This window comes from Homo sapiens, chromosome 12 (assembly GCF_000001405.40).
Source record: "Homo sapiens chromosome 12, GRCh38.p14 Primary Assembly".
Classification (NCBI taxonomy): domain Eukaryota; kingdom Metazoa; phylum Chordata; class Mammalia; order Primates; family Hominidae; genus Homo; species Homo sapiens.
In genome coordinates, this window is record NC_000012.12 from 110,537,468 (window position 1) to 110,550,242 (window position 12,775).

A 12,775-nucleotide genomic window follows, 5' to 3' on the forward strand; every position below is an offset into this window, starting at 1 on the left:
CCTTGTATTCTAATCTGCCAAACAGCTATGGCATGCACTTTTTCTATTTTAACATTTTTTGGAGGACTAAGAAATGTTTCACATGTCATAAAATTATACCAACAAGAAACTAATTCTACTAGCTCTGATATGCTAGCACCAACATGTCCCAGCCCTGAGACGGAGCCACTGGCCTGCTCCCAAAGTCACACATCATGCTGTAGATAGGACAAGTCTTCAGTCAAGGGCAGTTTCACATTGCTTCCCTCTTCAAACCCTGCTGTGGCAATTTGTCAGGCAAATACTGTTGAGTCCCACAAAGCCAGAGGAAGGGAGAAGCGAAATGTCAGACACGTGAAAGGCTGAATGTTAAACTGTTAGGAATGTCCACGCACTCTGGGCAGAGCTCGGAAGCCTTTTGGGTTCAGGTCCAAGCATTGCGGTGGCGGCAATAAAGGGCTTCAGGTTCCACCTGCCTCTGCCGCCAATGAGGTTCAGTTCTGAAGGGCATGCTGTGTGGGGAAGACATGACGAAATGCACTTGCTCTCATCCTCCTGACCTTGCTGAAAGCCACAAGTGCACAGTTTGGGGGCTGGGAGAGGACACCTCCACAGTCTCACCCAGAGCCCAGAATGCTCCACTCTACTGACACCATGTCCCCAGTCAGTCCCTATGACCTTCCCAAAGAATGCTTACCTCTCACATTCAATCCATTGTCACATGCAAACTGTGCAAAAGGTGACATATAATTTGGGTCATAGGCCAGCTCATGAGCTTGCTCAGCAATGCTTCTGGCAGTCTGTTGTATACTCTCATAATTTGAATTCTAAGATAAAGCATGAGGAAGTTATTTTACCATAATGCTCAAGACAGTAACATTTATCTAACCACCTTTTCCATCATGTAAGTTTTATTCTAGTTAGAAAAGACATTAAAACATCATGCCCTGGCTAATATGAACAAGACTCCAGTGCTGCCTGCACAAGGTATCAATCAGAAAGTCCTTTGCTTTGGTGGCCTTAAGCCCTAAAGTTTGGATTTTCATTTTTGCTTTTTTTCCCATTTGAAATTCTTAAGGTATTCTTGCTAAAATAGGATGAACTGAAAAGGCAGATTCTGATAGCCTTTGAAGGATACCTCAAAAGCTTCCTTGCTTAGGAACACAGCCTGGCCAACCCCAGTTTGCTCTCCAAGAGCTACCAGTTGCTCTAGTGAAAATACCTTCAGAATTTTATATCAGGAAGAGATTCCTGTCGAGCTGTGAAATCTTGGGCCATACCTTTATCCTTGCTGCTCCAACTTCCTCATCTGCAAAACGGGGATGGGAACACGAGGTCCACTTCAGCTCTAGTTTCAGTATAATGACAGGTCTCTGCTTCAATGTCACCTCCTCAAAAAGGCCCTTCCTGACCAATCTATCTAAAGTAGTAGCAGTCCCTTCTACTCTCTATTCCCTTATCCAGCTTTGTTTTTCTTATTTAGCACCCACATTACATCATAGATTTACTTCCCTGTATTTATCTATTTTCCTCCACTAGGATGTAAGTTCCATACAGGTAGGGACTGTGTAGATTCTGCTCACCACTGTGTCACCACACAGAGCACGGTGCCTGTGACAAGGAAGCACCTCACACTGACTGCACTCCACAGACAAGGCGTGGCGCTAAGGAGTTCCTACACAGGGCTGTAGTTAATCCTCACTGCAACCCTATAAAAGAGGATCTTTAGGATGCCCCATTTTATATGAAGAAAATACTGCTTAAACAGTTTTAAGAAACCCTCAGATCTCAGCAACTTCAATAAATAATAAAAAAAAGAAAGAAACGTACCCAAAGTCATACTGGTTAGAGGTAAAGACTCATGAGAAAAAGACTCATTTTTCCCAGAGTATGTTCACAAAGCCAGGAAAAAATTGAAAGCCTAGTTTCACCTCCTTCCTCTATGGGAGAAACCCATACTATTTGGTTACTGGTGGCAGCTCAGGTCACACTGAGGCTTCCAGTGGCCTGCTGCCTTTGGCTGGCTCTGGCATGACTATTTCCTGTCTTTGCCTGATTCAACACCTGCTGGGTGTTAGAAGAATAAAAGGAGAAACAACCAGGACCCGACACCATTAAAATATAAATAAAGATACAAACAAGAAATGCCCTCCATCTAGACTTTTCCTACTTCTACCAGCCTATGAAAACCTTGGGTAGGAAGCTTCTTTTTCCAAGTGCTCTAATTATTTGAAAGACCAGAGCTATTATTATTTTCCTGAAATTCACAAAATAGTTCTTTCCAAAACTACAAAGAGATAATGCAACTGAATCCATAAAACTCAGCTATCCAGAGAGGGCCACTTTTCCCAAGAGCTAACCTTTGAGTTAATTACCTTTAACTTTTTTAGCTCCTGAAGAATCATATAATCAGGCATGTTGTCAAAGAGTCCATCTGTTGCCGTCAGGATAATGTCTCCTAGCTGGACATCGAAAGACGTGCTATCAGCAGCATCCGGACTGTGGCAAGGACAGGGGAGGGACAAAGTTAAGAAGGCCCTTTACAGATGAGTTGAAAATGTCCTACAGGCACTATTTTACAATGTAATAAGCTTTCTGCAAGAAAAACTGATTTATCATAATGGAGTCAATTTTTAAAAAAAGTCATTCTGAAATTCCCAACTCTGAAAAAAGTTAATCGAAAATTCTAATATAAATGTTTCAAATTTTTAACTGAAACTACCGAGTAAAACCAAGTCTGATGATTAGTCACAAGTGGCTGAGAAGGAGGGAGGAAGGGTCCTCTTCTGAGTCAGATCTAACACACCTCTAAAATCCTAGTGGAAATGAGTCTTTATTCCTAATTCTTTACAGCCGAATTCCATCCCCCCCCGCCTTTTTTTTTTTTTTTTTTGGAGACAAGTCTCGCTCTGTTGTCGAGGCTGGAATGCAGTGGCACGATATAGGCTCACTGCAACCTCTGCCTCTTGGGTTCAAGCGATTCTCCTGTCTCAGCCTCCCAAGTAGCTGGGACTACAGGCATGTAAAATAGTGCCTGTAGGACCACAGTCATGCACCACCACGCCTAATTTGTTTTTACATTTTTAGTAGAGACAGGGTTTTGCCACGTTGGCCAGGCTGGTCTTGAACTCCTGACCTCAGGTGATCCGCCTGCCCCGGCCTCCCAAAGTGCTGGGATTACAGGCATGAGCCACTGTAATCACCAGCCACCCAGCCCACCCCCTCTTATTCACATATTTCACTCATCAGTTTCCTCGAATATTTGAATCTGGGTCCTGGAGTGCCATAGTGAGGGTGGGATGATGAATACCTGTGGAGAACAACATGCCAATCTTTTTTTTTTTTTTGAGACAGAGTCTCGCTCTGTCGCCCAGGCTGGAGTTCAGTGGCGCGATCTCGGCTCACTGCGAGCTCCGCTTCCTGGGTTCACGCCATTCTCCTGGCGCAGCCTCCCGAGTAGCTGGGACTACAGGTGCCCGCAACCATGCCCGGCTAATTTTTTGTATTTTTAGTAGAGACAGGGTTTCACCATGTTGGCCAGGATGGTCTTGATCTCCTGACCTCGTGATCTGCCCGCCTTGGCCTCTCAAAGTGCTGGGATAACAGGCGTGAGCCACTGCGCCCAGCCGCCAATCTTATAAGAATTCATTCACTGCTGGGTGTGGTGGCTCACGCCTGTAATCCCAGCACTTTGGGAGGCCAAGGTGGGTGGATCACCTGAGGTCAGGAGTGCAAGACCAGCCTGACCAACACGGTGAAACCCCGTCTCTACTAAAAATTAAAAAATTAGCCAGGCGTGGTGGCACACGCTTGTGATCCCAGCTATTCAGGAGGCTGAGGCAGGAGAATTGCTTGAACCCGGGAGATGGAGGTTGCAGTGAGCCAGTGAGCCAAGATCGTGCCACTGCCCTCCAGCCTGGCAACAGAGTGAGACTCCATCTCAAAGAAAAAGAAAAAGGAAAAAAATAATTCATTCACTTGCCAGTCGCAGTGGCTCACGCTTGTAATCCCTGCACTTTGGGAGGCCAAGGCGGGCGGATCACCTGAGGTCAGGAGTTTGAGACCAGCCTGGTTAAAACCCGTTTCTACCAAAAATACAAAAAATTAGCTGGGCGTGGTGGCACACGCCTGTAATCCCAGCTACTAGGGAGGCTGAGGCAGGAGAATCACTTGAACCTGGGAGGCAGAGGTTGCAGTGAGCTGAGATTGCACCATTGCACTCCAGCTAGGGCAACGAGAGCTAAACTCCGTCTCAAAAAAAAAAAAAAAAAAAAAGAATACATTCACCGGAAATAGCTACAGTATTTTGGCATAGTAAGGACTCTGTGTCTCCCAAGGGTCCCAAAGTGGTCATCATACGTAGGTATTTATTAGTGTGCCTCATGTAACACGTCTTCAAGAAATATCTTGATATCTTGACCAGGCGTGGTGGCTCACCCCTGTAATCCCAGCACTTTGGGAAGCCGAGGCAAGCAGATTATTTGAGGTCAGGAGTTCAAGACCAGCCTGGCCATCATGGTGAAACCCCATCTCTGCTAAAAATACAAACGTTAGCCAAGCATGGTGGCGTGCGCCTATAATCCCAGCTACTTGGGAGGCCGACACAGGAGAATCACTTGCTTCAACCCCAAAGCTGAAGGTTGCAGTGAGCTGAGATGGCGCCACTGCACTCTAGCCTGGGCAACAGAGCAAGACTCCATCTCAAGAAAAAAAAAAAATAGAAGAAATATCTGTTGCATAACTGAATGAAGCAGCAAAATATTTGACTCTCCAAATTGGGGGAAAAAACTCTTCAATATACTGTTGAAGAAAGCAAGGTGAAGACGGTGTGTCGTATGTGCAACCATTTCCGTAAAAAAAAAAAGGCAGAAAGACACACAGACATGGATGCTTCTATATGCAGGGAATAGATCTGGAGAGAATCAAAGAAACTGCTCATAGCGGGCTGTGGGTGGTGGCTCACACCTGTAATCCCAGCACTTTGGGAGGCCAAGGTGGGCAGATCACTTGAGGTCAGGAGTTCAAGACCAGCCTGCCCAACATGGTGAAACCCTGTCTCTACTAAAAAATACAAAAAGTTAGATCATGGTGGTGCACACCTGTAATTCCAGCTACTCGGGAGGCTGAAGCAGGAGAATTGCTAGAGCCAGGGAGGCAGCAGTAGCAGTGAGCCGAGATTGCGCCACTGCACTCCAGCAGCCTGGGCAGCAGAGCGAGACTCTGTCTCAAAAAAAAAAAAAAAAAAAAAAAAAAGAAAAAGAAACTAAAGAAACTGCTCATAAAGAAACCTTTGAGGACAGAATATGTGGCTAAGGGCAGGAACAGGAGGCAGATGTCTCACTAAACTTTTTTGTGTACAACTCTTGAAAAAAAAAACAGATGGAAGATCTTTTTCTCTGACAATGCCTGATGAAAACAGACATAAAAATGGGGGAAAACCCCGGGTGGGGAGAAAAGATCCTATATTCAGAGATCATGGCCTCCTGAGGCTGGTTCTTGGCGACTTCTTAAGGCCAGTTTCCCTCCTTCCAGGCCTCCCTGGGGAGGGAAAGGTGAGATCTGATAATCCGCCTTAATCTGTAATTAAGGAACAAGAGCCAGGAAAGCAAATCAGATACCGACCCGGAAGGGAGGCACCAGATCCAAAGCACCCTAAGCTCCACGGAAAAACCCCAACACTTGTGTAAGCAACATGTGACAACATTTGTGAAGAGAAAGCATAAAAACTAACAAACAAAAGCACACATGCCTATGAGGATTCACACTAAATGCACTCAGAAAATTTCTGGTTCATCTTCACTTGACTGAGGAAAAAGGTGGCACATGTAAAGTTCTGCCATGTGCTGCTGCAGGGAACCGACTTTCACTTACATATTTAGATAATCAACATTTTGTAAAAATGTCTACTAAAGGAAAACCTGTAAGTTAAGGTTAAAATAATATTCTGTAGATAAGAGGGACCATTAACTAAGGAGATACATGCAGCATGAAAAAAAAAAAAGGGAAAAAGACTGTAAAACTGGGGGAAATCAGGTCAATTCTTTCTGTGGAATAAAGAGAAAACAATGCAAGACGCTCTCATCTGCTCAGCCTTTGAAAGCTAATCAGATTCTAGAAGTGTAGATTAATGACCAGGTTGGCACTGAAGCTCTGTTTTATGCTGAGGTTTTTCTTTCCCCAGAAGTGTCCTTTGCTATTCTGTCTGTGAGAGTCTTGCTCCCATTGGACAGTTCGTCCTCTCCTAACACTCCCACCCATGAGCTTGGTGTTCTGCCAGCTGCAGTTTTGCCCATTTTGATTGAACATACTGTGCTGCTGGAAACTTTTGACCGCACTGAAACATGAGCTGAAATCACATGCTAGCGAGCTGTCTCTGGGCTCTAGGGGAAGCCACCTCCACCTCGCTGGCATGCCGGCAGAGTACTGCCCCAACCTGTCTGTCCCACAGACAGTGTGTGAGATATGGCAGGGCTGCTTTGGTGCTTGGAAGCCCAACAAGAAGAATCAAATGAAGAAAAAATTGAAGCACCAGTCTCCAAAAACTGTGATCTGAGCTTGGGCTCTACGGAGGCCTTGGGGTTCAGAGTTCTCCCCACTCCAGTGTGGCTAACAATAATGTAGATTACAGCCAACTTTAGAAGGGCCTAGAATCAAATACTCTTCCAATTATGGTCACCCGCCTACTTTTACTTTTTACTTTTGGATTTAGACTGGTGACCATAATTGGAAGAATATTTAGACTTTTACCGGTAAAAGTTACTTTTACTGCTAAATTTTTAGATGGGCAATGCTGAACATTTAATTACATAACATGCTCGTTCCAGTTTAAAAGATGGCAATAATAATTCATTTTATCTTAGTTTGGACCTAAGAGATGGTTTAATGAGAGCTATTAAGTAGAGACAAGTACTTGCTAGAATGCTTCTATTTTTACAAAAGGTTCATTGTCCATTAATCAACATTTATGAATTGCCAGTGATGTTTGTGCCAGGTCCTATAAAGCTATAAGATTGTTAAAGACACTGAAATCTGAGGCTTTGCCTTACTCTGGACACTCATCTAAGAAAAGATAAACTGTAAAAGTCAACTCAAAAAAAGCACCATTTTGGCTGGGCGCAGTGGCTCATGCCTGTAATCCCAGCACTTTGGGAGGCCGAGGCGGGTGGATCACGAGGTCAGGAGTTTGAGACAAGCCTGGCCAACATGGTGAAACCCTGTCTCTACTAAAAATACAAAAATTAGCCAGGCATGGTGGCGGGCACCTGTAATCCCAGCTACTTGGGAGGCTGAGGCAGGAGAATCGCTTGAACCAGGAGGCGGAGGTTGCAGTGAGCTGAGATCATGCCATTGCACTCCAGCCTGGGCAACAAGAGCAGGACTCTGTCTCAGAGAAGGGGCGGGGAAAAAAAGCAGCATCTTGGAACGTTCTTGACAATTTAAAAGTGAACTGAGAAAAGATGTGAGAAAGAAAAAGAGAACACCTCAATAACATTATCAAAGAACATATCCAAGACCACTTTTTTTAAAAGACAGGGTGTCACTATGTCACCCAGGCTGGACTCCAGCGATTTTCCAGCCTCAGCCTCTCAAGTACCTGGGACTATGGTCCTACACCACTGTGCCCACCTCAAGACCATTTTGGTTTTATTGTTTTGGTTTTTTTTGAGACAGAGTCTTGCTCTGTCACCCAGGCTAGAGTGCAGTGGCGCAATCTCGGCTCACTGCAATCTCTGCCTCCTGGGTTCAAGCGATTCTCCTGCCTCAGCCTCCTGAGTAGCTGGGACTACAGGCGCCCGCCATCACGCCCAGCTAATTTTTGCATTTTTAGTAGAGATGGGGTTTCACCATGTTGGCCAAGCTGGTCTTGAACTCCTGGCCTCAAGTGATCCACCCGCCTCAGCCTCCCAAAGTCCTGGGATTACAGGCGTGAGTCACCGTGCCCAGTCACTTAAGACCATTTTGACTCCATTTCCTGCAAGTTCTATTTGATGCATGTAGTAAGAGGTCTAGAGAATCAGGAAGTTACTCCAATAAATAACGCAGATGTCTGTTTGTGCTCTTCCCTAACAATGTATGCAAAATCTTGTACAAGCAATGGCATGCATGAACAATGACTCATTTCTCCAGCACAATTTAATAAAGTACTGTATGTACCATGTGGTGTTGATATGAAAAATTGATATTCTGTAAGCCTGAAATAGTATTTTCATGGTCTTGTCAAATTATTGGGTATTTATCAGAATTCCACTTAGCTAGATTATCTAGTTCCAGAAAAGTATCTTTCAAAGTTAAACTAAAAGGTCCTCTTGATGAGAACATTCTCAGTGTATTCTTTTCATGGAAATGCCTACCTCACTGCACTCAAGGGGGACAGGAGGGGACTATGAATGAGCCACGTCCTGCTCACACTTAATGGCTGAGAGGGGAGATTACCTGTCGCTCAAGACGACTCCCTCGGCTTCAGGGGGAGCGATTGAGAGCTGGAATGGAGTGTTGAAGTAATGCTGCTGCTCATCTGATCGGTGCACGACTTCACCACCCCTGACAACCAGGAAGCCTGAATCGCCCAGGTTTGCTGTGTGTAAGCGGTGGCTGGTTCTGTCCAGCACCACAATGCAGGCGGTGCTGCTACCTAGAAACAAAAATCATCTCCATTTATTTTTTCTTCCTAGGCTGCCTTTGCACACACATTTTAACACATGACCCCACAGAGCAACACACCATAATTTCAATCTCCTTTGCCTAAACAGGACCTTTCTTAGTTATGCTCCACATCCTCTACGAATATCAATAAAATCCTGATCAGGGTTAACACGGTGGGGAAAGAAAAAGGATTTGTATTATACATAGTAATTGGGCCACAGATGATCTGAATTCTTCCATTTGCATTGACAGAAAGCAATAAAAATGACTGGTATTTAATCACACTATTTCATTTCAACAGTGCTGTCATCTATGCCAAATGCTCAAAAACATGTTGTTGAGATATTAAGTTTTAATACTTCAATGCCAGAATGAAAATGTTACATTTTCCCGACATTTCTTATTAGTCATTGGCCACAAAATTCACTCACATTTAAGACAGGGCACATAACTACAATTTTAAACCAGATTTCCATCTGTTGAGGTCAGGAAGAACTTTTATTGGAGACTAATGACTCACTCACTATGAGGTAACAAGACCAAATTTCTGCAGGCAGCTTGTGGAATCAACCTGTTCATTCGACAGAGACTCTGGGCAAAGAACTCTGCATAGCTTTGCTGTGCACGGGCCACAGAATCTTCCCTAGACTGAAAGGCTAATGGCACAACTAGCAGAGACCACTCTCAAGTACTAACAGTTAAACCTACCTACCGCCACCAGAAAAATGGCAACATAGAAAAACAGGCAGTTCACAAAGAAATAAGTGTAGATGATCTGTAAATATATGAAAAAATGACCACCTCACTAGTAACGCTTTTCACCTATTAGTTTAACACGAGTCAAAAGAAGATAATGCATATTGTTGGCAAAGTGTAGGGAACATGCCCACTGCACAGAACATTCATTCTGCGGGAGTGAAAAGTAAAAGTAAACAACTTTCCTGGAGCGCAAGATAGCCCGGAAAAATGTACCTCCTTTCATCTAGCAATTCCATCTCTGAGAATTTACGCTAAGAAAATAATTAGAAGGGCAAACAAGACTTAAGTACAAAAATATTACTTAAGATGAGAAAGAACTGGAAACAATCTAAACATCTAAAATAAGGGACTGGTTAAATAAATTACAGTACATCCATACAGTGCAAAGATACACCATCACGTAATACTCAGGAGTACAGGCTCTGGAGTCAGCCTGCTTCCTGCCTGTGTCTGAATCCCAGCTCTGCCACTTCCCAGCTCTGTGATGGGGCAAACTACTTAACCTCTCTGTGCCCCAGTTTCCTCATCCACAAAAACAGGGATAACAGTAAGTACCTCATAGAATTTTTCTAAGAATTAAAATTAGTTAAGTCATGTCAAACCCTTATAACAGATAGTGTTGGCTATTTTATAGCCATTAAGATTATGTAAAATATATTTGAAAGGAAAGATAACTATAAAATAAGTAGATTACAAACTCATATGAAAGTTTCCTTAACAACAACAAAAAAAGATGATGTCAAAACCTAAAGAACTGTACACCAAAAAGAGTAAAGTTTACTAGAAGTCAATTTTTTTAAAAAAGCAATAGGCAAAGTCTAAATTATTAAAATGATGGTTAAAAGGAAAACAACACAAATGGGCCACGGAACCAGCCATATTAAATCCCAGTGTGCCATCATTTTCCAGCTATGTGACCATGGCAAGTCACTTATTCTCTCCAGACTTGTTTCTTCCTAACAAAATGGAGAATAGTTCAGGCGTGGTGGGTCATGCCTGTAATCCCAGCACTTTGAGAGGCTGAGGCGGGTGGATCACTTGAGGCCAGGAGTTCGAGACTAAGCCTGGCCAACATGGTGAAATCCCCTCTCTACTAAAAACACAAAAAATTAGCTGGACGTGGTGGTGCACACCTGTAATCCCAGCTACTTCGGAGGCTGGGGCACAAGAATTGTTTGAACCCGGGGGGCAGAGGTTTCAGTGAGCTGAGATTGCACCACTGCACTCTAGCATGGGCAACAGTGCAAGACTCTGTCTCAAAAAAAAAAAAAAGGTGGAGGGGAATAAAATTAAGTACCTATGTATTTACCTCATGGGGCTGTTGTGGGCACATAGTAGACTCAATTCAAGTTACCATTATTCTATGCACACATACACACAGAAAAAAAATCTGAAAGCATAATCACTCAAATATTAATAGTTGTTTTAGTGGGATCATGGGTAATTTTTATTATTAATTTTGTCCTAACAAAGTAATTTAAAAACACTTAAAAATATACATGTCTTTCTCATGCTAATGCCCAGAAATTCCATTTCCTTGTTATCTACAGTATATGCGTTAGTACTAACTCATACTATGCTAGCCATTAAGTGTCAACGAAAAGCAAAGCACGGGTACTGTAACTCACTGGTAGTGCTGTCAGATAACCCGCTCCATAGCTTACAGTAGGACAAAGATTGCCCATTACCTTTCCTTCCTAACTCAGTGCACATCAACTCTAACCTTTTATCATTAATAGATCACCACCCAAAACATCTTCTGAAAACTCATGGGATTATATTCTGAGAAAGAAAAACAACCCGAGTAGCACATCCTTGAAAATTCTGCTGCAAGAAGGACTCATGTGACTCCTTATATACTCACTGACGAAGCCAGGCTATCCTTTGCTACCCTGCGACAGTAACTCGCTGAGTTGGAATCAAAACAGTCCTGGTGAGTGACTGAGCTTCAGTATCCAAAGCAGCACCAACAAGTATAAGCCCAGCCTTACAGAACCATCTGGGCTTGGAGTGTACCCTCCTCTTTTGCCTCCTCAAATTCCTGATGTGTGCACGTGGCTCAGGCCCCAGCAGCCTAATATTGGGAGAAGAGCTAATCATTCTCACGTGTTTGGAGAGGCACAAGCAGGCAAAGATGAGTAAGAAAAGCGGTGCTGAGAACCACAGTGTAGGATGTTTAGACAAATGACCCATATAGACAGGAACCCAGGCGAGTCCCTCATGCTCAAATGGAAATATTTTTATCACCCAGCTCCTTATTTTGTAAACTACTACTAAGCCTTTTGTATGGCAGAAAAAGGGATAACTTTATTAGGACCAACCCCTCAGGTTCTTAAGATACTCTGGCTGCTTAGGACCTTATCAATCCATTTAAAGGTTTCTGAGGAAATCATATATGCCAACAATTAGTCTGTAATGCCCTTAGACCCAAACGCAGCTAGAAAGTCAAAGAAATAAGTGGTTACAGCTACCAGCTTGCCTTTTATATTGGAATTGCTTTGTAGGCTTTTTAGCAGTTGCTGGATTAAAAAAAAAAAATTACCTAACTAACTTATCTGGTAAAGTTGTCATGATTTACAATTATATCTAGCTGAAGTTCAGTAAAACTCAGCAGCTTGTCTTTGTCAAAATATGCTTGAGTTTCATTACAAACAGCCTAGAGATGTGTAGATTTTGTGAAAAAAAGGTGTGTCAAACATGGTGATGAAAGATTATTTCAATGTGCCTTTTAGGAGAAAAAAGTAATCACAATATTCAATGTAAGAAAATATTATTTTCTCTAATATTAAATTTAAATGTATTTTATTAATATCTCCCAGTTACATGAGGGTGAACAGAAAGGGAAAGTAGGAATAGGAAAAAGAAAAAGGCACAGCAAAAACCAAAGCTTCTAAAGTGTAAAATCAGGATGGTTACGTGTTTTGTAACCAGTTATCTCAAGTCAAAGTAAATGATCGGGGGTCAGAGGGTCAGCAGAGCCACTCTTGAGAACATGCAGGAGGCAGTCCCCTGGAATCTGTGTCTAGGGGCTCTCTCTCCATTTAACATGTGAAGCAAGGAGATCACAGGTTAAGTGGCTTGCCCAAAGTCACACAGCAAGTTGACAGAGAGGTGCTAGAAATAGCATCTAGAATGTTTCACTATGCCAGACAAGCTCCAGATTGCATGTCCAAAACAGGGAATTAAGACAAAGCAGTATATATTGAAACTGCAAGACAAGATCCCTTTTCAGTTTGAAGGAAAACAAGTTAGTTAATCACAGCACAAAGACAGAAGACAGCAGACTGATAAAAAGAACTCCTTACAAAGGGCTTAAACTGAAAGCAAATTCTATAACAACTGTGGTGATCTCCATTAACGCTAAACAGGGGCTGATTTTTTTTTTTTTTTTTTT

General features: G+C 43.0%; 1 protein-coding gene across 4 annotated transcripts in view, besides 3 other annotated features; it reads right to left on the reverse strand.

Annotated features, from left to right (window-relative positions):
- PPTC7 (protein phosphatase targeting COQ7) overlaps positions 1 to 12,775 on the reverse strand; it is a 50,074-nt gene that overhangs the window by 4,223 nt on the left and 33,076 nt on the right. Inside the window, exons 3-6 of one of the 4 annotated variants that reach the window (XM_024448870.2) lie at positions 8,413 to 8,611; positions 2,355 to 2,478; positions 1,260 to 1,288; positions 723 to 806 (exon numbers count right to left, since the gene is read on the reverse strand). In XM_024448870.2, the coding sequence (XP_024304638.1) occupies positions 1,262 to 1,288; positions 2,355 to 2,478; positions 8,413 to 8,611 (350 nt within the window). In that variant the 3' untranslated portion in view covers positions 723 to 806; positions 1,260 to 1,261. Of the gene's footprint in view, positions 1 to 676; positions 807 to 1,259; positions 1,289 to 2,354; positions 2,479 to 8,412; positions 8,612 to 12,775 lie in introns of those variants that run through there. The other 3 variants (NM_139283.2, NR_138550.2, XM_024448869.2) reach the window with 3 other exon arrangements.
- Positions 2,986 to 3,486: an enhancer, noted in NCBI's record as "H3K4me1 hESC enhancer chr12:110978258-110978758 (GRCh37/hg19 assembly coordinates)". NCBI's record gives its function as "activates a minimal SCP1, AML or CMV promoter by ChIP-STARR-seq in primed H9 embryonic stem cells {active_cell/tissue: H9 hESC(primed)}" and the evidence as "EXISTENCE:reporter gene assay evidence [ECO:0000049][PMID:30033119]".
- Positions 3,487 to 3,987: an enhancer, noted in NCBI's record as "H3K4me1 hESC enhancer chr12:110978759-110979259 (GRCh37/hg19 assembly coordinates)". NCBI's record gives its function as "activates a minimal SCP1, AML or CMV promoter by ChIP-STARR-seq in primed H9 embryonic stem cells {active_cell/tissue: H9 hESC(primed)}" and the evidence as "EXISTENCE:reporter gene assay evidence [ECO:0000049][PMID:30033119]".
- Positions 6,469 to 6,568: an enhancer, noted in NCBI's record as "active region_7008". NCBI's record gives its function as "activates an Ori minimal core promoter by ATAC-STARR-seq in GM12878 lymphoblastoid cells {active_cell/tissue: GM12878}" and the evidence as "EXISTENCE:reporter gene assay evidence [ECO:0000049][PMID:35858748]".